We start from the raw sequence: 27102 nt of genomic DNA on the forward strand, positions 1-27102 counted from the left end.
CTGAGATTTAACTTGTACCAAATTAACAATATTTTTGAAGTTTGGATATCTTATCTCTAAAGAGCAAAATAATAAGGCTGGGTGTGGTGGCGTATGCCTGTAATCCCAGCACATTGGGAGGCTGAGGTGGGAGGGTGGCTCGAGACCAGAAGTTTGAGACTAGCTTGGGCAATGTAGTGAGATTCTGTCTCTACAAAAAGTTTTAAAAATCAGCTGGTATAGTGGTGCATGCCTGTAGTCCCAGCTACTCAGGGGCCTGAGGTGGGAGGATCACTTGAGCCTGTGGGGGTCGAGGCTGCAGTGATCTGTGATCACACCACTGCACTCCAACCTGGGTGACAGAGTGAGACCCTGTCTCAAAAAATAAAAATAAAAATAGAAAAATAATTTTCCAGGGCAAAAGGTGCAGTAACAAATACATTTGAAAAAAGTTGTGCTTTAAAAGACTCTTTTATTTTATATAAATACATCTTGAAAATTAGTTGAAGAAGGTAGCAAGTATCCATCATTATTTTGCATAGATTAAAAACATCTGGGTGTGTCTGAAAATGGAAAAAAACATACAATGTTATGTAAAACCCTAAATCTTTAGATATGAAAGCATGCATACAAAAATAATACATTCTATTTAGTCTTTCTCATAATGAAAATTGGAATTTGCCAGGCTCACTCATCACCTTAAAATTGGTGAGATACATACTATACAATTTTTATTGTTTGAAAATGCTTGTTGATCTGTAGCAAATTCTCTCATCCTTGGGAGTTGATGTAATCACATCTGCAAAACCAAAGCAGAGGATGATGCAAAGTTCTTTTGAGAAGATTTCTCAATACCATCTGTTTGCTCTGTCAGAGCCTTTCCTTTCCAAACTTCCCCCTTAGCCTGTGCATCTGGAGTGTCTCTATGAAGTCTATGAGGTCTTCATCTAGCCTGGAACCCAGGCTAATGTGTCACCCTGTGACCCAGCCTGGTGGAGTCATTTTGGCTCATCCATCTGGGCTCCTTCCCCTCTATCCATGAGCCATGGTGATATCACCCTGCAGCCATGAAGCCCAGTAGATCACACATTCACGCTATTCCCCCTGGAAGCCTCCTCTGTTCAACTCCCCAGTAAGCATTCCATTAAGCCAAAGCTTGATCCAGAGCAAAGCCTTAACTCTCTTCAATTCTATCAAGGATGAGAGAGGTGAGGAAGCTATATAAGAAAAGTTCAAAGCTAGCATATGTTGGTTCATAAGGTTTAAGGAAAGGAGCCATCTCCATAACATAAAAGTGCAAGGTGAAGCAGCAAGTGCTCATGTAGAAGCTGCAGCGAGTTGTCCAGAAGAACTACCTAAGATAATTGATCAAGGTGGCTACACAAAACAACAGATTTTCAATGGAGACGTAACAGTCTTCTATTGGAAGAAGACTTTCACATCTAGAGAAGATAAGTCAATGCCTGGCTTCAAAGCTTCAAAGGACAGGCTGACTCTTGCTAGGGGCTAAAGCAGCTGGTGACCTTAAGTTGAAGCCAATGCTCTTTTACCATTCCAAACATCTAAAGCTCTTAATGTTTATGCTAAATCGACTCTGCCTATGCTTCATAAATGGGAAAACAAAGTCTGAATGACAGCATATCTCTTTGTAGCACAGTTTACTGAATATTTTAAGCCTATTGTTGAGATCTACTGCTGAGAGAAAAAAAGATTTCACATTGTTGTGGTGATCTGGAACCAAACCCACAATATTTTTGAAGTATGCCCATGTACTCCTTTTCTTCTATCTAGTTTTGAACCAATTGGTTCAAAATTGAACCAATCAGGCAGCTGGTGTCCAACATATCAGCTTTTTTGATGGTATAGATTAGGTTGGTGAATGTGATTTAGGTGCAGGAAGAATTAACTTCCTATTCTGCACCCAGAATCAGACAGACCCACCTGTCATAAGCCCAGCTGGGCAACCACCAGCCTTCTCATATGGAGCCTCTTATTGCAAAGCTTACAGCACAGAATTAGAACAGAATGCTTGCTTTCTGTGAGCAGTCGACTCCCTAGAGGAAGGAGAGAGAAAAGACTGAGCTACTTTTGCCTAGTTCCTTTCCTAAACTCACCAATAAGATCAGTCACTCTTATTGGACAGGAACCATTAAAGGAGCAGATAGACAGTAGAGCATCACTCTCACTGAACACCCACCACATGGAAGGAAATATCAGAGTAGGGAATACCCATTGTCCTCCTATGGAAACCTGAAAACAGCCACATGGAAAAATGATGAGAAATGTAAATTGGATTTTGTGGACTCCAGCTGGACACACTTTTGCCATCCTATTGATTTTTTTAAGTATCAGATTGATTTTTTTTAAGTATCAGATTGTCTTGTATCTTGAGGAAAATATGGTATGTGTTTTTATGTGTATACACACACATATTCCTTCTGACCATGACATTGTAGATGGATGTACACAAAAGCAATTTTAGTCTGTAAAGTAATTTTGTGGGACCTCATACGTCCCCCCCAAGCCTGCAGACACCCTGTATAATCTGGCTTTTCTCATGGAGTCTGCCTGAGAAAAAGCCTTGCTTTTCCCTCTGCTCTGGGGCCTTTGCCTGATACTTATGATTTTGGCTCTCTCCATTGGTTATGAGCTGATACAGCTTTATATAGTCTGGTCAACAGGCTACATGGGGTTGGGGTGTGGAGGGGGTGTTCTACAGTGTGACTTTATAAGGTATTTGTTTAGTGCATATTCTCTCAGATCTCATTCAGGAAAAGTGGAAATATTCTGTCCTTTTCAATATGCTCTCATCCTCCCTGCTACAGTAGTCTAGGCCTGGGGAGCTATGAATTGTGTGGATGGGCTAGTTTCCAGACTTAGGTCTTAGCTCTGTTTCCATTATAGTGAAGCTGCTCAACAACTGGATGTCCCTTTGGAACAATAAAAGGGATATCACTATTTCCATAGATCCTTAGTTTAGCGTGAAAAAAAAAATACTCTAGTTATTCTTGATGTGTACTACAGTTTGGATGTTTGTCCTCTCCAAATCTCATGTTGAAATTTGATCCCCAATATTGGAGATGGGGTCTAATGGGAGGAGTTTGGGTCATGGGGTCAGATCACTCATGAATAGATTAACACCTTCCCTGAGGGTGGAGGTGGAGGTTAGGGTGAGGAGTAAGTTCTCTATTAGTTCCCAAGGGAGCTGGTTGTTAAAAAGAGCCTGGCACCTCTCCTCTCTCTCTTGCTTCCTCTCTCAGAATGTGATGTCTGCGCAAGCTGGCTCCCCTTTACCTTCTGCCATGAATGGAAGCAGCCTGAGGCTCTCATCAGATGCCTAATCTTTAACTTTTCCAGACATAAGAATTATGAACCAAATCATCTCAATTATGAGCTTTTTTTTCCTTATAAATTACCCAGTATGAGGCATTCCTTTATAGCAATGCAAAATGGACTAAGACAATGTGTTTTTATATATCAGTGTCCCCTGGTCCATTATTATTTGTAAAACTTACTAGATGGCAAAAAAATCAATTACTATGTGCTGATTTGGACATGAAATAAGAATTTGAATTCTGTGGAATTTCTCTTGTGGAAGTTGGGTCAAGATCTCAGCCTCTTTTTCAGGCTGAGAAAAAGTTCAGTATCACTGGTATGCAAAAGGCAAAGGAAGCAGGGGCTGAGGCTTACAGTGTGCCAGATGCCATTGTAACTGCTTCACTGGCCTCATTACAAAATTATCTATAATCTCTTCTGGGTCTAATGGGACTATAGTTTCTAAAGCTTTGGGGTTCAGTTAAAACCAAAGTGGGAATGTACTTTAGATTTCATGGTTAGAGCCCTTCTGATTGATATTAGATTGTTACTACCTCCTGAAGATTTTATCATTTTAATTTGTTGAATATGACTGGATTTCATACCGAAATTCAGTATTTGTTGACTACAATAAGTAGTTGTTGAATACAACTACTTATTGAGTGCCCATCATGTGCCAGGCTCTGTGCTGGGCACTGGGGATTAATATATACTCAAATAGTTGAATGAAGAGAAAGATATTCTGGCAAATCATTGCAGTTTAAATAAGCATTATGAAGTGGATTACTAGAAACAGTGGAAGGATAGAAGAGATATGGAAGACTGCCTGGGTGAGACATGAGTAACTTCAGCTGAACTTGAAGAATGAAGGGTATTTTTCAAGAGAATATATAAGAGATAGGACTTCCAGGCAGAGTAGAAAGGCACTGATGCCTTATATAACATGGCATGTCTGGACAACTTCAAAAAGTTTAGTATCATTGGCATGCAAAGGTAAAGGAAGCCAGGGCCGAGGCTTATAGTGTGCCAGATACCATTCTAACTGCTAAATATTTATTATCTCACTTAATTTCTATAACACTATGAGGGTGGTACCATTTGCCCCATTTTATAAAGGAGCAAACTGAGCCTTAGAGGGGTTACATAACTTGTTCAAGGTTACTGGTAGATGGTAGAAATGAGATTTGACCCTCCTGAAGAAGTGACATTATTAATGGCTATGCAAAACTGCTTCCCCAATATTTATCTTCTTACTCCAGCTCACAGAAAAACTTTTCTGGTTTTTGCTCTCATCAAGTAGCTGCCAAAGTACTTGTTTTTAATCAAGATATTTTTATCTGCAAGGTCATCAAAGATAGCTGGTGTGTGGAATGCAGCCATTGTACAATATCATCATTCCTTGGCTGAAAGGAATGTGGATCAGACCCTATTTCTCCAAATACGACAATTGCTGAATGGCAAATTATTTCAAGTTCAAATCGGAGGTTTGAACTTGAAATAATTATTATCAGCTAATCAAATTGCAGCTTCACCAAAATCTGGGCTTCAGCAGACTTTGAGCTGTAGAGGGAGTTTTGGAGAAAGCTGTATATTTGAAATTATAGAGGAATGAGTATGTTTATGAAAAAGCATTAGAAAAACAGATGCCTTTATCAGTTTCATGGCTTTGCTTCTTGTGAGTCTCTTTTCATTCTCCAAGCACCCTAGTCTGTGGATGAAGAGCCAGCCTGGGATGATGGAAATCCCAGCGAACCTGCAGCTTAAGATCTCAAGTTTGGTCACATAGGACACGTAGAAGCTTGAGCATGAAAGTTTCTCTTTTTAATTTCCTTCCCTGTGTGGACAAGGAGTTAAAAGTTCAGGTTTGAGGGCCAAAATTCCAGAGCTTAAATCCTAGCTTTGCCAATCCCCAAATGTGTGCCCTTGGACAGGATACTTCTTGCGCATTGGTTTGCACATCTGTAAACCAGGGAGAGTAGTAATACCTACCTCATGGGGCTGTTGGGGACAGTAACTGAGATAATTCATAGGAGAAGCTTAGAATAGCGTCCAGCACAAAGTAAGAATGCAAAAAATGTTAACTTTTATTATTGTTGTTTTCTTCTAGTTCTTGACTTCTCTGCCCCATTCAAGCCTAAGTGTTCCCTTAGCCCTACAGAAAGCTAGAAGAAAATCGTTCACTTCCTCTTTAATTTTTTTTCTACTTAAGGAAGACCAGTGTAAACATCTGTGCATTATAGTACAGTGCAGGTATGAAGGAGCCAGACCTGTAGCCCTGGTGCAACACATTTGGCATTCAGTGTGCTTTGTAGGCTGCTGCTCCTCACAACGGACAAGAATCCATTTAGTTTCAGATCAACAATGGTAGCTTTACTTCCTTTTTGCTCTCTGGTGGGAATTGCGGTCTTTTTGCCATAACCAGGCATTATGATCTGTGTATAATGGAAAAATAAATATTGATGAACTTTTTATTTATTTCTTTTAATGAGGGGAAGCTTACTCTTTTCAGTTGAAAAATTCTACTGGAAATAAATCATATTGCTATGGAAACCCTGCCCAATCAGCACTGAAGTGTGGTTGCTATATATGTTCTTTGAATGTACATGCTATCAGCATTACATTTTGGCACGTATTTGACTTCCAATTCTGTTTCCACAGTGTTAGACTAGAGCCCATCCGCTGACTGCTTCTCTGTTCAGTCTTTTAGGATTCCTTGCTATCTTTGGGATGCTGAATCATGTAGAAACCACAGAAATCCTGTGATTAGTTCTGGCTCTGCAACTTCTGTCCTGGGGCAGGTTTCTAGTCTTTCTGATCCAGTAAGATTATCTATAAATTCTTTGGACTATAAAAATAAAAACAATATCTTATAAGGTTTCGGTGAAGATCAAATAAAGTCATAATATGAATAAGTACTTAATACATTCTAAAATGCTATATAAAGGTAAAATAGTTTTGCTTCCAGAAAAGCTACCCACTGCATAAGTTACACATCTCAAACAATCTTTGGAGTTTCTGTTTTTTTTCCTTATAGTTGGGTTATGAGAGGTATGATGATGTAGAAGATGAATGCAGACCCACTGTGGTAAGAATCCCAGCAACATTACTCACTGTTTATATATGCAATCTTGGTCGGGTTACTTAACCTTTCTAAGCTTCACTTTCTTTATCTTTAAAATCAAAATGGTAGAATTTATATCCAGGATTATTTAGTAGATTAGAAAAAAATTATATGTTAAACACAGTGCTTGGCAGATAGATAACCACTTAAAAATGGTACTTACTGCTGAAAATAATGATGCTGTGCCCAAACTGACAACATCAAACAAATTCTAAACTACTCAGCAATTTGGAACTGGTTTATATCAAAGAGAATACCATTTGTCAACACCTGAAAATTCTTATTTATTCTAGAAGAGCATTCATTTAGAAATGACAACTCCTCATAGATTCTGCAACATTCACTGAGTATCTACTAAGTGCACAGAAAGATGAATAGAATGGCAAAGTTCTTATCCTCCATAGTGCTATAACTTGTGGAAGTATAATAAAGTTGCACACGAGTAACTGCAATGCTTGTGGTAACTCACTGATAATGTTCATGTGACAAGTAATTTCAATGAATATAATAGAATGATCAAGAATGCAAAAATGAATTCTTTCAAGCAGAATTTCTTGCACAAGAGTCTATGAAAACTCAGAATGAGAGAAACAGGTGCCACAACTCATAGATATGGAGACATGTATTAGTCCATTCTTATGCTGCTGATAAAGACATACCCAAGATTGGGTAATTTACAAAGGAAAAGAGGTTTAATGGACTTACAGTTCCACGTGGCTTGGGAGGCCTCACAATCATGGTGGAAAGAAAGGAAAAGCAAGTCATGTCTTACATGGATGGCAGCAGGCAAAGAAAGAGAGCTTGTGCAGGGGAACTCCTCTTTATAAAACCATCAGATCTTGTGAGACTTATTCACTGTCATGAGAACAGTACAGGAAAGACTTGCCCCCATGATTCAGTTACCTCCCACCAGGTCTCTCACACAACTCGTGGGAATTCAAGATGAGATTTGGGTGGGGACACAGACAAACCATATCAAGACAGCAGTGATATATCTGTCCCTGCAAAGCTTTGCAGAGTCTCTGACTGACCCTAAGGTTGAAAGTCAAATTGGAGGAGAGAGTGCTAATTATTATACAGGATGACTTTGTACCCTATCTCTGCCTGATAATTACCATCAGTACTAGTATAGTCACCAAAACATTCAATCTGAAGAGAAGTTGAAAATACATGGTGTCTCTGAGCCAAAATTGACCCTTGATGAAGAGAAGAAGTTGGTCTAAATTGAAACAGAACTATCAGTAATTCAATCAAGGAATGCTAAGTCAGAGCCAAGAAAGAGGGAGCATCTCATTTTCAGTTGTAGAGATTATTCAGCTCGGCTTATTTGGTAATTTAAATGTAGTCATACTTTAGTTGTAATGCACATAAATAGCACTTTGGTCATGGATCAAATGTGATAAATTTTAATAAATTTCTGAAGCAATACAAAAACTGCATGTACTCATTTTCGTCTTCACACACACATGTTCAAACACACACATGTGCATACACACACACAAGTGGACCCTGGATTAGGATGCTTTCGTAACTCAGTGAATTATTCTCCTCCCACCAGCAGAGTGAAATGGCTATTTTCTTTTCTTTCTTTCTCTTCCCTCTCCATCCTTTCCCTTCCTTTCCCTTTTTTGTTCTTTTCTCCACTCACGACTCCCTCCCTTCTTTTAAACCTTTTTCTCCTGTCCATGATTTTAAGGACAACGGGATGCCAGTGGAAGGGCAAATCAGTGATTTAGAACTGGCAAATCTCTCAGACTGTTATGCCTCATTTGGAATTTTCAGCACAGAGATAACAATGCGTGCCTCCAGATGGATGGTGGGTCTAAATCTTGCCTCAGGCTTCCTTTGTGGGAGGCATTTGAGCATTTATTGAGCCTTTCTAGAAGGAAATGCCTTGAAGAGTGAGATGATGCAGTAAAGAGTCTATAGTGCACTCCAGAGGGGATATGTGGAGGCATATTTAGAATAGTTCTCTTTTCCATAAAGAAATTGAATGAGAATGAACATTTTCCCTGAGTAAAGTGAATGCAGAATCATAGAAACTCCATGAGTATCTATTGAGTGAATAAATTGGCCAATGAGGAAAAAGTAAAAAGGGTTTATGAAGATAAAACATGAAGAATGAGGGAGTAAGATTATGAAAGCTCCACAATAACCTATATCTGCTTACATTTTCCACCTCAAATTATAGCTTCTAGTTTTCCTCTCAGCATGGTCTTCCTGTGCTGCACCTTCTCAGTCAGAACTCCACATTCTCTTTCACACACACACACACACACACACACACACACACACACACACACACACACACGTGCTCCAACGATTCCTACTGACCTGTACCTAGAATCACCATTACTGAACCTTGAACCAAGGCTAGGTAGACCCCATTCCCTATAGATATGTTTAATACAAGCTCTCTGACATTAGAGACCCAACTATCAACCATGGCATTCCAACAACATTGGCCACCCTACTTTGGTTTGCCTGTGTGAAAGTCTTTGGGTCCTGATGTTCCCATTCAGATGGTCTTATGTAAAGATCAAGGTCTTGTGGGAAAATCAAGGAGACTTATTCCAACTCCCACCCATGTCCCAGAGACCTTCTGTCTGGACCTGTTGCATTAACTTGGTCTGCTGAACTGAAGGGAAGTGTTGTTCCTTTGTGTGAAGTGTCCCAAAAGAATAGGTTTTCAAACTGGAGTGAGTCAAAATACAGAGGATGTAGAACAAGGGTGTCAAAAAGGGAAGTCAGAGCACTCATCAAACACTTCCATTCGTGGAGAGCTCTAGCCCCATCTTGGACTGACTTCTCGCCCTTTGGCTTTTCATTTTAGACACAGCCCCGGGCTGCTTGCCAAGAGCTGAAGGAGCTCAGAGCAACAATGTAATCTGTAATGATGAAATCTTATGTCCAGCCATTCACTTCTGCCCACAGCAGAAATCTTAGCCTCAGGTATAACACTCAAAAACAGCTGTGCTCTTTTCAGGTTTATACTAGACATTTTCTTGGTTCATTATTGTCTAAATGTTGAATAAAATGAAAAGAAAATGCTCACTTAAGTTACTTCTTTGGGATCACATTATAAAATGACATCCTTTTAATACTTTAGGACCGAATAAACAAAGCAACGCCAACACCAACAAAAACCAAACAAAAAAGAAAGTACAAGCTTTATGCTCAGTAGTAGGTCATTTGAGTCAGGAGGTCATAGTTAGATCTACAGCAAGCTGGATGAAATGATAAGAAACAGAATGGAGAAGAATATAACTAACTTGTGTAGTGTGACTTCTCCATATGATGGGTGCTAGAGTTCTGAGAACTGATGAGACCCCATTTCTAGCCTAGGGTATAAAAAGCAGTGAGCCAGTGGGCTGGAAGCTGATTCCATTAACCACCAAACCTCAGACACCGAGGAACTTCATCCACTCTTTCATGTGTATCCTTAATACTGGCAGTGTGCTGGTCTGTGAAAGAGTGCTTTCTCTGAGTCTTAGCTGTCTTTCTTGTCCAGTCTTCTAATCCCACTCCAACCTTTATGGACTGGTCTAGCTGAGAACAAGACAGATCTGGGTTTAAATTCTGGCTCTGCCATTTGATGATCTATGATTATGGGCAAATTATTTCACCTTCTAATCTTAACTTTCTCATCTGTAAAGCAACACATATTTCAAAGAGTGTTTTCCTGAGCATTCAATGATATAACACAAATGAACTTTCTGGGATACTTAAACAAGTAGATACTCAATAACTTAATTCTCTTCCCACCGCTTTCACAGGGAACCAGGTAAAATGTCCCTGAGCCTCATCTATGGTAATAATACCTAAATTGTTGATTCTAAGATATGCTTTTGGCATTTTAACATCTTGCAATTAGCAACATCTTACTGTCTTGGATAGTCACAGGGCAGTAGTGACATGGCTGTTATTGCTTGCATAGGTGTGAACTTACTGTTATTCCTGAAGGCATGACTGGACCTATAGCTCTTCTGACCATTTAAGAAGAATTTGAGGAATTTGAGTGTACAATTTTCCACAACAATAAGATAAAAACAATGTCCTAGCATCAAAACTTGCAAAATAGGCATAAGCAGCATGAAAGAAACTATCAGAGACAATAGCGGAGCCCCTTTTTTTTTCCAGGAAAATGGATATTTAATATTTAGCATTCCATCTATGAACATGGCATGAATTTTATTTATTAAATGTATCTCCCAGCATCATCCATGTCCCTGCAAAGGACGTGAACTCATCCTTTTTCATGGCTGCATAGTATTCCATGGTGCATATATGCCACATTTTCTTTAAAGAACAGAAGAATCACCAATGCACTTGATGGTCCAGAGGACAATATCAAGTGCAAGAACCTGGGCATCTTTGGACAACTCAACAGAAAAGTAATTCAAAAGAGTCAGACTCTGAAAGTGAAGAGGTTTTCAGAAAACCTTCACTAATTTATTTTGCTGTATTTTCCCTTCAGCGTACACACAAAATGATATGTAATGAAAAGCTATGTCTATATAAGTTTAAGAGAGTGCTTTTGAGATGAGCACAACAAAAAGCTAAGTGATAAGAGAATATTGTGTCAAAATTTAATTGGGAATATTTTTCAGTCTTAATGGCATATAAAATAATGATTCAGCTTATAACTACTGGCATCTCCGAGTCAATAAACTATGGTAAAACTGTACTGTGGTATTTTTTGTAAGAAATAAATGAGACTGTATATGTGGGAACAGCTGGCATGCAATAGTCATCCAACACATATTAATTGAATCTCATTCTGAATTGGTAGTCATAGAATCTTAGATTTAGAAGTGACCTCAAAATGATTTTCCTGGAAAGATCTCTACAATGGAAACTAGAAAACATTGATGAAAGAAATTGAAGAGGACACAAAAAAATTGAAAGATATTCCTTGTCCATGAATTGAAAGAATCAATATTGTTAAAATGTCCATACTACCCAAAGCAATCTACAGATTCAGTGAAATCCCTATGAAAATACCAATGACATTCTTAACAGAAGTAGAAAAAACAATCCTAAAATTTATATGGAACCACAAAACACCCAGAATAGCCCAAGCTTTCCTGAGCAAAAATAGCATAACTAGAGGAATCACATTACCTGACTTAAAATTATACTACAGAGCTGTAGTAACCAAAATAACATGGCACTGGCATAAAAACAGACACATAGACCAATGAAACAGAATAGAGAACCCAGAAACAAATTCACACACCTACAGTGACCTCATTTTCAACAAAGGGTTCAACAAAGGGTCCAAGAACATACATTGAGGAAAGGACAGTCTCTTCAATAAATAGGTTTGGGAAAACTGGATATCCATAAACAAAGGAATGAAACTAGGCCCCTACCTCTCTCCATATAAAAAGTCAAATAAAAATGGATTAAAGACTTAAATCTAAGACCTGAGACTATAGAACAACTGAAAAAATTAGGGAAACTCTCTGAGACATTGGACTGGGCAAAGATTTCTTGAGCGATATCCCACAAGCACAGGCAACCAAGGCAAACATGGACAAATGGGGTCACATCAAGTTAAAGAGCTTCGGCACAGCAAAGGACGCAAACAACAACGTGAAGAGACAACCCACAGAAGGGGAGAAGATATTTGCAAACTACCCATCTGGCAAGGGATTAATAACCACAATATATATGGAACTCAAACAACTCTATAGGAAAAAATCTAATAATCTGGTTAAAAAATGAGCCAAAGTTCTGAACAGACATTTCTCAAAAGAAGACATACAAATGGAAAGCAGATATATGAAAAGGTGCTCAACATCATTATCAGAGAAATGCAAATCAAAACTACAATGAGATATCATCTCACCACAGTTAAAATGGCTTTTATCCAAAAGACAAGCAATAATAAATGCTGGTGAGGATTTGGAGAAATTGGTGGGAATGTAAATAGTACAACCAGTATGGAGAACAGTTTGAAGGTTCCTCAAAAAACTAAAAATAGAGCTACCATATAATCCAGCAACCCCACTGATAGGTATATACCCAGAAGAAAGGAAATCTATATATCAAAGAGATATGTGCACTCCTATGTTTATTGCAGCACTATTCACAATAGCCAAGATTTGGAAGCAACCTATGTGTCCCTCAACAGATGAATAGTTAAAGAAAATGTGGTACTTATAAACAATGGAGTACTATTCAGCTGTAAAAATGAGTGAGATCTTGTCACGTGTAACAACATGGACGGAATTGGCGGTCATTATGTTAAGTAAAATAAGCCAAGCACAGAAAGACAAATTTGCATGCTCTCACTTATTTGTGGGAGCTAAAAATTTAAAAATTGAACTCATGGAAACAGAGAATAGAATGATGGTTACCAGGGGCTGGGAAGAGTAGTGGCGGGGTGAGGGGAAGGGGAAGTCGGAATGGGTAATGGAAACAAAAATATAGTTAGAAAGAATGAATAAGACCTAATATTTGATAGCACAACATAGTGACTACGATCAATAACAGTTTAATTTTACATTTTCAAGTAACTAAAAGAGTATTGCCAGGTGCAGTGGCTCACACCTGTAATCCCAGCACTTTGGGAGACCAAAGTAGGAGGATTGCTTGAACTCAGGAGTTTGAGACCAGTCCGGGCAACACAGTGAGACCCCATCTCTATTTAAAGTAACTAAAAGAGTATCATTGGATTGTTTGTATTACAAATGATATATGCTTGAGGTGATGCCCATTTACCCTGACATGATTATTATGCATTGCATGCCTGTATCAAAGTATCTCTTGTACCCCATAGATATATGCACCTGCAATGTGAAATTAAAGATAATTTTTAAAAAAGATGATTTTCCTGGAGTGCTTATATTCTGTGAGTTACACTGGTGCTAACCATGTCTCCAGGCCACTTTGAGAATTTCTCAGACACAGGTATTACATAATACCAAATATCTGGCCACATTTGCTTGGAGCAGAGCCTGGAGCAGCACCTGAACCAAAAGTCAGTCATGTCTATGCTGGTGCTGACCTGGTGCTAGAGCTCAGCCCAACAGAAATGCTCTACTGGTTGGCAACTGTTCCCAAATGCAGGGAAGCAGAGCCTAAGAAACAAAGTAGCAGAGGAATAAGAAAAGCAGGAAGAAAAAGCAGAAGAGATGGAGGAAACCTGAAAAACCCTAATTCACTCAAATCTAGCCTGTAGATGGATTTAGTCTGATGCCTTCCTCAATTTCCCATTATTCGTGAGATGTTTACAAGAATATAAAGATACCTTTTAGCTGGTTATCTATAATTCTCATTTCTTGTCAACTGATTCAATGATCTTTTTTCTTAAAGCTTCTTTATAAGGTCTATAGAGATTGAGTTTACAAGTAATTATAATGCCTAGGACAAGTTCATAAAATAAATACTCAGAACACTCCCATATCTGCAATTCACAACAAGCACAAAGACACTGTACAGATCACAATTCATTTTCCAGCAAATTGTCTTAGGCAGCAACTCTCTTGCATATGAATTTTGAGAAATGTTAATTTTCCTTAATGCATGGCATATTTACTATAATTAAAAGCATGTAGATTTTGTTCTCAGTTAAGTTTCCAAAAGCACAATCTGTATTATGTTGCTATACATTTAACATATGCAATATATTTATAATTAAGCCTATGTATAATTTTTATTTATAACTCTGCATGTTTAATATAATTATATATGATGTATATGCATCTGAATATAAGGGAGAAGGGAGCTACCCCCACTGAATGATGTCAGCATCAGGCACTGAGCTAGGTATTTTATATTGATTATTTAATTCTTCATCAATGTTGTGGAAAATAGGTGTACCTTTTACAATAACTTTGGTTGCTTCCTTAATTCCTGGAAAATTGTTTTCCAGATCTTTTAGAAGCCATTTCTAAGGTACAGAAGGTTTGTTGTCAGATCCTTAAAGTTGGTAGCATTCAATGTAGCTGTCTTCCACTAGCCAGGAGGTATGTAAACTGAGGCCAGTGGAGATGTCTTTGAGTTATTATAAGAATTTGCTTGGCGGGGCGCGGTGGCTCACACCTGTAATCCCAGCACTTTGGGAGGCAGGTGGATCACGAGGTCAGGAGATCGAGACCATCGTGACTAACATAGAGAAACCCCGCCTCTACTAAAAATACAAAAAAATTAGCCGGGCGTGGTGGCGGGTTCCTGTAGTCCCAGCTACTCGGCGGGGCTGAGGCAGGGGAATGGCGTGAACCTGGGAGGCAGAGCTTGCAGTGAGCCGAAATCATGCCACTGCACTCCAGCCTGGGCGACAGAGGGAGACTCTGTCTCAAACAAACAAACAAAAAACACAAAAAAAGAACTTGCTTAATTTTGAGCAAGACTTGTAAATCATCAATTCCCGCCACCACTCAATTACCTATTATCCTTGTAATTGGATGCTTTCAAGTGTGTGTTTGTTAAGGCTTTAAACTGGCCTGCTTTTTCTAACCAATTTAAATGTTTTTAAAATAGGAACACAAGATAATAGAAGATGTCCAAATGCTTTGTTCATTGAAAATTCTTTAAACTTTCAAGTGTTTTCCTTACTACTTTTTCAAATTTCATGGCCTAATCGTGCATTCATTCCTTTGGAAGTTTGCCTCTCTCATCAATCATTTGAAACACTAGCCTTTATAGCTGGTTAGCTATTAACTTGCTAAAAGTAATAATCATTTACATTTAAAAAGCACAATGTTTTATAGTTTGCAAACTACTTTTACATGCTTTGCATGATTTAATTCTTTCTTCATTCCTGTGAGGTAGAAAGAGCAAGTACCTAATCCCCATTTTACAAATAGTAAATAAGAAAATTAAGCCTTATTCATTTTTGAAATAAAGAAAATGGTGAAGACTTGAAGGTTTTTCTAGTTTGATTCCCACACCCCCTCTTCTTAGCATTATCCTTGAACATTGACCTGTAATGTCCTTATTAACTGCTTAGTATATTGTGCTAAGTATTATTGGGGTAGGAGGCGGTGAGGAAAATATTGAAGCATACATAAAAGTGTAATACATATTCCTTGCCTTTAGGAAACTTTAGTCAGGTTGGGAATATGTAATCACAGAGAAAAATAGCTATTAATTCAAAGCAGACTTTGATATGGTACATGAAGACTTAGAGCAATAAATAAGGCCTGTGAACATACAGAGGAATGGAGAGATATCAGTCAGAGTCCTGGCAGGAAGCAGATGGCAGATTCAAATTGGGTAATTTGAGGAGAGCTTAATTGTTTAAAAAGTTATTTACAAAGGTGGGTGTTGAGTGGTAGAAAACCAGAGAGAGAGTTCAGTATTTGGGGAGTGAGGGAGACAGTCGATGCTGCTCAGCTTCCTGGGTAGCGGGGAGGAGAGGATGGAGAGCAGACCTGGAGGGATAAACAGAACATACTAGCCCTGGAAGAATCACCATATGCTGAAATGTTGGGGGAAGGCCATGAGGTGGTAAGAATGGACCTTAGCTTTGAAAGAGTAAAAGTAGAAAATATAGGTGTAGAAGAGAGACGAGGGCACTGCATTCAAAGTGAACACAGGACATGAGGGTTCGGATTGGGAAATATGCTCATTCTGGGCTGTCAAAGGGCAGAAAGGGGGACATAAAATTACAAAATAACTAGGGACCAAATTGCAGAGGAGTTGAACACCAAGCTAAGGAGTTTATACCTGATCCTGAGAACAGCAGCCAGCAAACATTTTAAAATAAGTAATGAAGCTGGTATCTTAGGAAAATTAGTCTATATTAATACAAGAACTGGTTTGGAGGAAAGAAGTGAAAGTGGCAGAATGTTCAGCTTAGACACAATATCCCAGCATGAGGTAAAGAAGGGCAGTGAGAAGAAAAAGGGGAAGAAACATACATGAGACATCATGAAGGAAGACTCAGTCCTCTTGAATGCTAGGCTGAGCAACTCATGCTGGCATGTGCTTCCCTCCCAAATGGTAATCCTGATTGAAATGCACCCTAAATAAACTAGGACAAATACTCCTTAGGTTAGACACTCATGGACACAGGGCTGGCTGGAGTGTGAAAACAGCTTGGCCTGGACCCAGAAGATGTGGTTTGAATCACTACTTTGCCACATACAAGCTGGATGTTCTTAAGCAGATTGCCTGGTCCCTCAGCCTCCACTTACATCCTCAAAATGAGACACTAATACTTACCACATAGGATGGTTATGAGAACTCAGTCAGCAAGATTTGTGGACTGCGAGGGACCACATGGGGGTGGGGGTGGTAGCTAACATTATGTCTGACACCTCTGGACACCTTGTCTCTCTGGCCAGGTCAAGTGGAAAGGAAGCAGGCTCTTGCCAAGACATTAACTAAAGCCCCTATTTCTCTTCCTTGCCAAAGCTGCTGTGTGATCAGGTTTGATTGATTACTATAAGCCTCAGCCTTCCAATTATTCCTCCCCTGCAAGTTATGGCTGTATGTTTTATTTGACAAGATAGTATTTATTTATTTTAAAAACCTTGGTTTATTTTCATTCTCCCAGCCCATGACCCCAAAAGATTTTTTTCTGTTGTTTCCCTGAGCTTGCCACTAATGAGCTGAAGATAATTCCCCCCAACCTCCACCCCTTCCAAGTGCTTAGTACTTTTTGGCCTGAGTATTTAGCAACATGTTGAAATACAGATTAAAGCAATGAGCCCATTTAAATAAACCGGTTGTGAAATTTGGTTGTTTTTACGTTTTGAGGTTTCTATGCAGAGCCCTCTATGGATGCCCTAATGAAAGTACCACTTTGATTTTCAGGCAATTTTACATATAATGTTTTCTTCTCTTTAGAGAGTGTCTGCAGATCTGATAATAACTGTAAAATAACATGGCCACACTGAGATACAGAGGGTAAGTAGCTGATTGGCTAGTCTTACTCACCAGCTAAGGCTTAAAGCCATGAAGTCCAAGTTCATGCTTTCACAAGTTACAAATGACCTCCTGCCATGGAACTCTGTGGTTGGCTTTGAATAATTGAAATCATTACTTTAATATCTGTAAGGCCAGGAATCCCCTTTAGTTGATCCCGAAAGCTTGGCAATAATTTGGGTGACGGGGTGATGCAGAAAATAGTAGTTTGTAGTAGAAAATTTGAGTCTCATTGTCCCAATTTTTAAAATTCCTCAATGTTTATAAGTTGATGTTAAACTTTTCATTCAATATCAACTTATAAAAATGAACAAAGCCCAGGCCAGGCGCGGTGGCTCACGCCTGTAATCCCAGCACTTTGGGAGGCTGAGGTGGGCTGATCACGAGGTCAGGAGATCGAGATCATCCTGGTTAACACAGTGAAACCCTGTCTCTATTAAAAATAAATAAATACATACAAAAAAATTAGCCGGGTGTAGTGGTGGGTGGCTGTAGTCCCAGCTACTTGGGAGGCTGAGGCAGGAGAATGGCATGAACCCAGGAGGCGGAGCTTGAAGTGAGCCAAGATTGCACCAGGGCACTCCAGCCTGGGCAACAGAGGGAGACTCTGTCTCAAAAATTAACAAAGCCCTTGTGAAACCCATTGCACTGTGCTAGATGCTTGAGGAGAAAGGTACAGACTTTTAAGATATGGTTCTTCTCCTCTAAGTACTTACTGGGGACATAAGACCCAGGTAATGATGATTAATGATCTTATCCTCTGCTTCGCCTCAGTCACTTACCCGATAATTATACCCCAGACTTGGTCATTTCATGCATCCACTCTTAGACCTACTGATCTCTTCTTTCCATGCCATTCCTCGATACTCCAACTCCAAAAATTCTTCATCCTCACTAGGACCTATGCTCCATCCATTCACCATCCCTCACTCCCATAAAATCTTCAGTTCCCTCTAGACTCAGCTTACATTCTATGGTCCATTATTAAAAACTGCTCACTCATTCACCCTCCAGTACCTTTTCCTTCCTTTCATTCATCACGTCTGCTTGGTAAAACCCTGGTTAAATCCAGTTTCCCTCCTCTTCTACACCCTGCACCCCCACAGCTGATTGTGGCTGGAGAAAATCCCCACAACCACACTGACAAATCTCATTTTAAACTCATGACTAATAACCACAGTGGGCCCATACAGCTGCTGGCAAGGTTTCGTCATTGTCCTGATCAGTCCATTCAATCCTCTACTTTCCTATAACCACTGTACCTTTTCTTGTCTCTCTTCAAATCTCCAGCACCTCCTCCAACTTTTTACCTTTTCCTAATTCACTGGCTTGTGGTGGTGGTGGAGGAGGGTGTGGGTAGGGTTGGTGGAGATAGAAGCTCTCAAAAGAGACCTTCCCTATTCTCCCAACTCCCACTTCTCCCAACTGACTGTCTGTCCATCTATGTCCTGCCTTCTTTCCTGATGTTGTGGATGATCTGTTTGGGTTTCTATCTGAAGCCAAATTTTACACTGTGCACTTGATCCCATCCTTTTTTCCTATCCACAAACTTATTTCCAGCAATTATCTGTTCTCTTTCCTGCTCAAGAATATTTCTTTTTCTATTGAGTCACTGCCAGCAGCATAGAAACATGCTGAATCACCACCCGTCTCACAGAGAAAACCTTCCTTGACCCAACTTTCCCTGTAGTTACTGCTCCCTTTACGGCAAATCTCCTTGAACAAGACTTTTAAGCCCACTACTTCCAATTCCTCTCCTTATAATCTTTCACTCTCAAAATTGCTCCCTGAAAACTGCTTTTATCAATATCTCCAGTGACCTCCACATGATCAAATCCAATAGCCAATTCTCAGTCTTTATCTTATTGAATTTATTGGCAGCATTTTACACCATTGCTTACTTCCTTCTTCAAATGCTTTCTTTGCTTGGCTTCTGAGGCATCACCCTCATTTCTCCTCACTGGTTGCTCCATCTCAGTATCTTTTCCTTGTCCTCCTTATCTTCCCAAGCCCTGCCCACTGGAGTGCCCCAGGAATCACTCTTTCACTGATTTCTCCAGGATCATAGCTTTAAATTTTATTTACTTATTTCATCCCCGAATTCATATTTCAAGCCTAGATTTCGCCCCTTGAAGACCAGACTCATGTCCGGCTGCCTACTCAGTCTCCACTTGGCTATCTAACAGACATCTCAAAGTCAACAGATGCCAAAATGAACACAAGATTCTCCCCCTACTCAAAAACTCCTCCTACTCCTATCTTCTGAATCTTCTCAGTTGTTCAGACAAAAATCCTTGGAGTCATCCTTGACTCCTTTCTTTCTTGTCGCACCACATCAGATAATTTTTTTGAAATTCCTTCTTCAAAATATAACCAAACTCTGACCACTTTCCAACACCTCCATTACTACTATCTCTTCTAAGCTGCCATTATCTCTCACTTCTTATTGCAAAAATCCCTTAACTTTGTTTTTCCTTCTCTCCTTATTCCTCTGAAGTCTATTTTCAACCCAGCAGATGGAGTGAACCTTTTTTTTTTTTTTTTAAAAATCTAAGTAAAATAATGTGACTTTTTTCCTCAAAACCCTCCCATGGCTTCCTGACTCTCTCAGTTTAAAAATCAAAATCCTCTTCATCACCTGCTGGATCCTACCTTTCTGTCTTCATCTCCCACCACTCCCTCTCTGGCTCACTCTGCTCAGCCACACTGGTGTCCTTCCTAGAACATGTCAGGCTTGCCTCAGGGCCTTTGCATGGGTTAGATCCTTTACCCTGAGATTTTATCACACAGGTTCCCCATGGCTCACTCCTTCTACTCCAGTGTCCCCTCAGTGAGGCCTTTCTTGACCCTCTGCCTTGACACGAAATCCTATCTCTCCCACCCTGGCGCTCCCTTTTCTTCTTGCCCTATTTTATTTTTCTTCATCGTACTTAATCATTATTTGATTTGCTACATCTTGTTATTTGTTTATTCCCCTCTCTCCTCACTATACCGTAAGCTTGGTGAGAAAGGATATTGTGTTCACGGCTGTATTTCCAGAACCTTGAATAGTGCCTGGTACAGAGTAGGTACTCAGGAAATATTTGGTGAATGAATGAATTAATGAGTGAATGAATTCAAAATAATGAACACCTATGGCCATTACTGCTGTTTCAGAGAAGGTAGAGTATCACAGACTGGAGTCAGAGAAGGCTTTGATGAGCTGGTAAGTCCAGGCACTATAGGATGAATGGGCTTTTGAACAGGGTTAGGAAAAAGCATTCATGTGAGGGAGGATGTTAAAAAGCTGAAGAAAAAGAACTCCAACAACATTTATTGAGCACTTACTACATGTCAAATACTTTACATTCATTATCTCATATTATCCTCATAATGACTATAATAGAGAGGTATTATTATTTCCATGTGAGAAATGAGGAAACTATGTTTTAGAGATTTTTTTAAAAGCAGCTTTCCCATAAAACCTTTAGTTAGTAAGTTGTAAGCCATTCTTGTAATTGAGTTTTAGCTGACTCCAGGCCCATTTTCTTTCTCTTTTTATATCTTATCATCATTATCATCACCATTCCTAATACTATTTAAGTCTCTGTACTCTCCACCTGGCATGCTCCCTCCCATACTACCTGAATGGTGACCTTTGGTAGTGCTCAACTCAGTGATACATAAATAATATAAATAATAACAAAATGTATTCTCAATTTTTTCTCATCAACCCCAGGAAGGTTAAGCCTCCTTGAACTTACTTAAATTGGTGGCAGCACGAGCTTTCAGCATCATGGCCAGCATGACCAAGCCATTTCCCTGGTGTTCCCCTCAGCATGAAACATCTGTCTACTTATTTCTTTGCTGAGCCTGAATGGAATATTCCATCTCTGAAAAATAAACTTTGTGTTTAAATTGAAATCTTTATTCCTATCTGGCAAATTGGCTATATATCCTCAACAATTGGAAGGAAGTGATGTATCTGCTGCCATCAGCTACAAAGCACTGGACGCCCACTGTGCTATTTATTAGATTTACATGAATTCCAGGTGAATCTGATCCAGTGGCTACAAAAAGTGAGTATAAATTAATTGTTATTCTATTCCTCCAGAATGCCTGATATGGAAAAAGCAATTGAATCTGAGCACAGTTGGAAATTTAAAATGAAGTTTTGTTCGGCACTGAAATTCATGAGACTGCCAGAAAGGAGAGAAGGAAAAAATTTTTTTTTCTTCTCTCTTTTTTTTTTTTTTTACAAAATCCATTGCTTTTGATAATAAAGTAAAAAACATTTATTAGTCAACTTTGCTGGGGGCAACAAACAACCCTAAAATTTCGGTTACTTACAACAAAGGTTTACTTTTTATCACGTTACATGTTAGTTATAGGTCATTGTGGGGTCAACTGTGGGGCTGCTCCATGGATAACATTCATTCCAGAACTCAGCTGGAGGAGCAGCTCCTCTATGGAATAAGCCATTCTGGTGGCAAAGGGAAAAAAGCTAGAGAGCTGTTGTCAACAGGGAGTGGCCTGAAGGCATCTGTTCACAGGTCACATGAGTGAGTCCCATGTCAGTGGGGCAGAAATGTGTACTCCTCTCATGGTGGGCACTAACAGTCCAATGGCAATGACTGGAGATGTGTAATTCTCTCACAGGAAGGAAAAGTGAAGCACTGGGAAGCATAATAAAAATCTACAGCACACTCCTTATCTTAGCGTAAAACACAGCTGGCCTCGTCTCCCACCATTCCTTATCTTGTCTGTGCTCTGGCCACATTGAATGGTCTCCTTTCTCCCTAAACACATGATGCCACACTTTCATGTCTGTTTCCTATGCTGGAAATGAAATTCCCTTCATTTTCTGCCAAACAGAGTGGCTCTCTGCCTGCAAGGTCCAGTTCACATTCTGCCTACTTTATAAAGCCTTTCCCAACTCTCCAGTTGAAATTAAGCACTCCTCCTTTGGAGCAAATGGGGCAGACTGGCTGTACATCCAGCTCTAATTCAATCTTACTTGGTCAGTCTGGTAACTTCCTTGGTAAGTTCTTTATTGGTAAGTCTGGATAAAAAGCTACTGAAGGTTGGGAGGCCAAGGCGGGTGGATCACTTGAGGTCAGGAGTTCAAAACCAGCCTGGTGAACATGGTGAAACCCCATATCACTAAAAATACAAAACAATTAGCCGGGTGGTGACTGTGGCAGGGGCCCATAATCCCAGCTACTCTGGAGGCTGAGACAGGAGAATTGCTTAAACCCAGGAGCTGGAGGTTGCAGCAAGCTGAAATTGCACCACTGCATTCCAGCCTGGGCGACAGAACAAGTCTCCATCTTAAAAAAAAAAAAAAAAAGCTATGAAGGGCAGAGACTAGGGATTCCTTTTCCTGGGGCCCCTCTCCAGCCTCTTTGGGGTCAGAGTCTTGACCATAATACATGTTTAATAAACTCAATCGAATTACTAAAAATGTACATATTCACCATCAAGCTTACCCTTAGTGTGAAATTATAAGTCTTTTCTATAGCAGGCATATGCAGCAAACCATGTGGAGAAATCTGTTAGCACTCTTCTTCAGTCACAACAGTCGTGAAGATTATCCTCTTGGTTCTGCAATATAGACCCTACCCATTGTGTGTGTGTGTCTGTGTGTGAGATTCCTACCTTCCCACCAATAAAAGCATTTTGGATACCATGTTTTCACAGGAACACTGCTTCCCTTGCCAATGATAGCTGCTTTAAGAAGTGCTGTTTCTTTTCCTTCATTTTCCCTGCAGCATCATCTCTCATTTGGCATTCTGTGTGAAGCTCTTGTTTATGGCCACACAGTAGGAGGGGAGCAGAGAGGGTAGGCCACAGGAGCAGAGCTGTGATGCAGTGGAAAGACAGGGAACCTTACAGTCAGCAAATCTGGCTTAGATTTTTGTCTCTGCTCCTTACCAGCTTTGTGGTCTTTAGTGAGCCACTTGATTCTACTATCCCTTTAATTGTATTTGTTTAAACAAGAAAAAGAGACAAAAAAAGATAAGAACAGATACAAGAATGTTGTATGATATTGAATAGAGTCTAGCACGTTGCAGGAGCTCAATATCATCATGACATGCCTTATACTTAAAAGAGCAGTGCTGGGAAATTTCTTGCTCCATAATAAATCATTGATGCACTTAGTATCATTACTTAAATGATCTTGATGTGTTGCCAGTATGGAATGGGCCACTTGATTCCCAATCTGCTTCCTCAGTTTCATCCCATCCGGTTACCCCTGGGCCTTAATAAATCTATAAGTCAAATGGATGCTTTCAAACTTAATAATCTCCATCCTGTCTCAGATGGGATAAGAGAAAGATCAAGGATCATGGTAGTGAAAACTAAGGTTAATAACCCTACCTTTTTAGCTCCTAGGAATGCCAGACTTCACTGAGAAGTTGGGAAGGAAATTATAGGCTCATGATCCTCTGGGTCAGTCCCCTTCAATTGGTGTCAAAAAATGAGAGGTCATAGATCAGAGAATCAAGCTATCACTTTCAAGAATGCTCTTTTCTTTTTCCTACTCAATGAATATATTGGATTTTATCAAAGAAGTCTGAAAGGTCCTTTGAATAGACATCATATGCAAAATTTTGTTCTTCTCTTCAGATGGGCAGAAGATCATGGGTTTTGTCAGATTTCAGAAGAGCGTAGAGGAATCTATTTTCAACAACTCTCTGTTGTTGAAACAACAATTGTATTCGTCAGGGTTCTCCAGAGAAACAGAACCAACAGAATATGCATGTGTGTGTATGTGTGTGTAATCCATTGTAAGGAACGGGCTCACATTATGTACTGTGGAGGGTTGGCAAATCCAAAATCTGATTTGCTAAGCCAGTGGGCTGGAGACTCGGGAAAGTTATGGTTCAAGTTCAAAGGCAGTCTTCTGGCAGAATTCCTCCTTGCTCAGGAGAGGTTAGTCTTTGTTCTGTTAAGGCCTTCAATTAATTCAATAAGGCCCGCTCACATTATGGATGGTAATCTGATTTATTCAAAATCCACTGATTTAAATGTTAATATCATCCAAAAATTATATTCACAGAAACATCCAGAACAATATTTGACCAAACACCTGGGCACCATGGCCCAGCCAAGTTGACAAATAAAATTAACCCACACAGTAATATAAAACAGAAAACATCCTATTGATATGATAAGTAGAATCACAGGAACTGAGAATGAAAAGGAACTTTTGAGGCTATCTGTCTGCCCTTTCTCCATCTTGGAGATAAGAAAAGTGAGGCTCAGAGATTACACACCCCTTTGGCCAGAAAGCTGGAACTAGGTCATGGGCTTCCTAAATCTTTCTACAACTGCCAAATCCAGACTTGTCTTTTTTTTTTTTTTTTTTTAACTCATCATGAGACACAGTTTAATGCCCTTTCATGAAAATTAGATAGGGTCAAGTTCCAATTTGAGTTATTTGTGTGGCAATTGGAAGGCAAACTGCAATTAGACCCAAGTTTCCTTCTTGACACATTGTACAAAAATGTAATATGTGATAATAACAACATAAGGAGGATGGGGCTGATTAGGAGCAGAGTTTTTGTATACTACTGAAGCTAAATTATTATTAATTCAGCCTGGATTGTTATATATTTAAGATGCTCATTGTAATCCACTTTCTCTGAGGTAGTCCAGGCCACCCATGGGAGAAGTTAGTGAGTGAGTTTCCACACCAGGAGCATTTAGTCTAAATGTATAAGGAAAAAAATGTATACTTCAGTAAAAAACTGTGCCTTTTCTAAAGCACACTTATCTGGGGTTGTCTACTTCTAATTCCATGGGCACTATTTCGGACTATAAGTTGTACATAACTGATAGCAACACAAAATAATTCTTGTTTATAGATAAGTAAATAAATTAAGTCCGAGGAAGGGACAACCTCTTCCTCACTCCAAGAAAAAGTCAGTTTTGCATTCATTTTCACATTCATTTTCATATTCCTTTATTCAATAAAATAATATAAAAATATATACTGCCATAAAACTGGAGTATATATTTTTGCTTCTTTCACTTCTCCTTTAAGCAGTTATAATATTTACCTGGTTCAGTCACTTAATCAATGAGTCGAATAAAATCTTTAGCACATGTTCATTTTATCTCTATGAGAGTCATGATTTTGCCCCTTTTTGGGAAAATTATTCTTTGATAAATGTCGTGTCTTTACCAGCACATCAAAAAGATGCTCTACTAAAGTAAAACTGACCCTCTGCCCAGCATCCATTCAGCTCCATTCTGCTCTGAATCTTCATATTTAATAAAAAGTTTGATTAGGTTTTCACAGGGTTTGCTGCATTGAAATCTGGGGGAAAAAATAGAAGTAAAAATAGAGACTCTGACAGCAAAAGAAAGCAGGATAGGGAAGGGGGGAAGGGCATTTGCATCTCTTAAACACTTAGTAAAGGATTTGAGAATTGGGGTAGGATGGGAAAAGGCGGGCAGAGGTAAAACAGGATAAATAACAGCTCAAAACAATTATCTTTGAGACCCGCCAAAATCATTAGTTATCCCCCTAATAAATTCTTTTACTCCGCCCCCATACCACATACACTCTTAAAATGTGTTGCTAGCAAGTGTTTGGGGCTTGATGACATCTCTGGAATGTTTTAGTCGTGTTTAGCATGGCAGCCTGGGCTCTATTCTGCTTGGAAGCAACCAGGGAGGATCTGTGATAAGTGTTGAAGAAAAGGACAGGAAAAGTGGAAGAGGAAAGAACTCAAGCAAATTCCTTCTTCCAGACCTATTCATCCTCCTCTCTCCCTCTGTAGCTTGGGCTTCTGAACACTCTCTTCAGTGTGTTATGGCAGGGAGAGCGAGGCAAGGAGAAAGACAGCACAAACCCCCTGAGCTAAACCCAGGGCCTCCACCTCTGCCTTCCCGAGTCCCAACAGTTTCCATCTCTGTTATTGATATCTTCCTGCTGTTTTGTCCCGGCCAAATTGCTCTGTACTGCCTCTTGGTGGCCTTTCTACCAAGTCTGTTGCCATGGCTACTACTTTTCCTGACTGACACCTCCACCATCAGCTTCATCATCTATTTGGCTACCTGCTTGCAGGAGTTCCTTCCAGGCAGTAGAGCTTTCATTCAACTCCAATGGACTCCTTTAACTCCTCTCCATTCCTCTGAGCAATGTGAGGAAAGCTTGTATGGCTTGAGCCACAGTTTATCTTTGCATTTTTATTCCCTGTGGCCTCATCCCTGAACCAAATCCTCATCATCTCTTTTATGGGCCATGCAGCCATCTGCTAAGTGGATTGCATTAACTTGTAGAAACAAATAGACCTCAAAATTCTAGTGGCTTAACATAATAAAAACACATTTTTTGCTACAAGGTTGGTGGAGCAGCTCTCCCTGACACGGTCTTTCAGAGACTCTGACTGAAGGAGACTTGTCTGTGTTCAGTATGTGGCCTCCAAGGGCTCCATGGGCATTGAGATCCCAGTCAGTTGGAAAGGGAGCTGAGAATGGAAAGCATGTATGGGAATCTTTTATAGGCCAGGCCTGCAAGTGGCTCGCATCCCATCTGCATAAACACAGGGGAGAAGTGGGGAACCCTGGTGTGGCTTCTCCTGAGCCAGTAATCTTGCAAGGCTAGGTAAAGTATATTAGTCTCCGTATGTTATTCTAAAATAGCATCTTTGTGTCCTATTGGTGCCATACCAGCCACTTTACCAAGTGGTGAGAAAAAAAGAAGAAGAAGAAGTAAAAGAGGAGACAGGAAGGAGGCAGGAAGAGATGGTGAAGCAGCTTAAGAAGCCCAGGTATCCAGTAACAGGTAGTGAGATTGAATCAGTAATAAAGTC

General features: G+C 39.7%; 2 long non-coding RNA genes across 3 annotated transcripts in view, besides 1 other annotated feature; one reads left to right on the plus strand and one right to left on the minus strand.

The window, feature by feature from the left end:
- Positions 1–27102, plus strand: part of SLC7A14-AS1 (SLC7A14 antisense RNA 1) — a 287921-nt gene that overhangs the window by 241057 nt on the left and 19762 nt on the right. The window contains exons 4-5 of the long non-coding RNA NR_135556.1: positions 17219–17278; positions 21015–21354. This is a non-coding gene — a long non-coding RNA (SLC7A14 antisense RNA 1). The remainder of the gene's footprint in view (positions 1–17218; positions 17279–21014; positions 21355–27102) is intronic.
- Positions 432–25609, minus strand: LOC124906302 (uncharacterized). 2 transcript variants are annotated; one of them, XR_007096159.1, is made up of 3 exons: positions 25342–25609; positions 5562–5726; positions 1929–2033 (listed from the first exon to the last, which is right to left on the minus strand). It is a non-coding gene; the product is annotated as an uncharacterized LOC124906302 (long non-coding RNA). The 2 variants fall into 2 exon arrangements; XR_007096158.1 differs by lacking the exons at positions 1929–2033; positions 25342–25609 and adding an exon at positions 432–542 and having other exon boundaries at positions 5562–6048.
- Positions 21859–22153: a silencer, noted in NCBI's record as "tiled region #4779; HepG2 Repressive non-DNase unmatched - State 24:Quies". NCBI's record gives its function as "represses a minimal TATA promoter and a strong SV40 promoter by Sharpr-MPRA in HepG2 cells {active_cell/tissue: HepG2}" and the evidence as "EXISTENCE:reporter gene assay evidence [ECO:0000049][PMID:27701403]".

The sequence above is a fragment of the Homo sapiens genome, chromosome 3 (assembly GCF_000001405.40).
Source record: "Homo sapiens chromosome 3, GRCh38.p14 Primary Assembly".
Classification (NCBI taxonomy): Eukaryota; Metazoa; Chordata; class Mammalia; order Primates; family Hominidae; genus Homo; species Homo sapiens.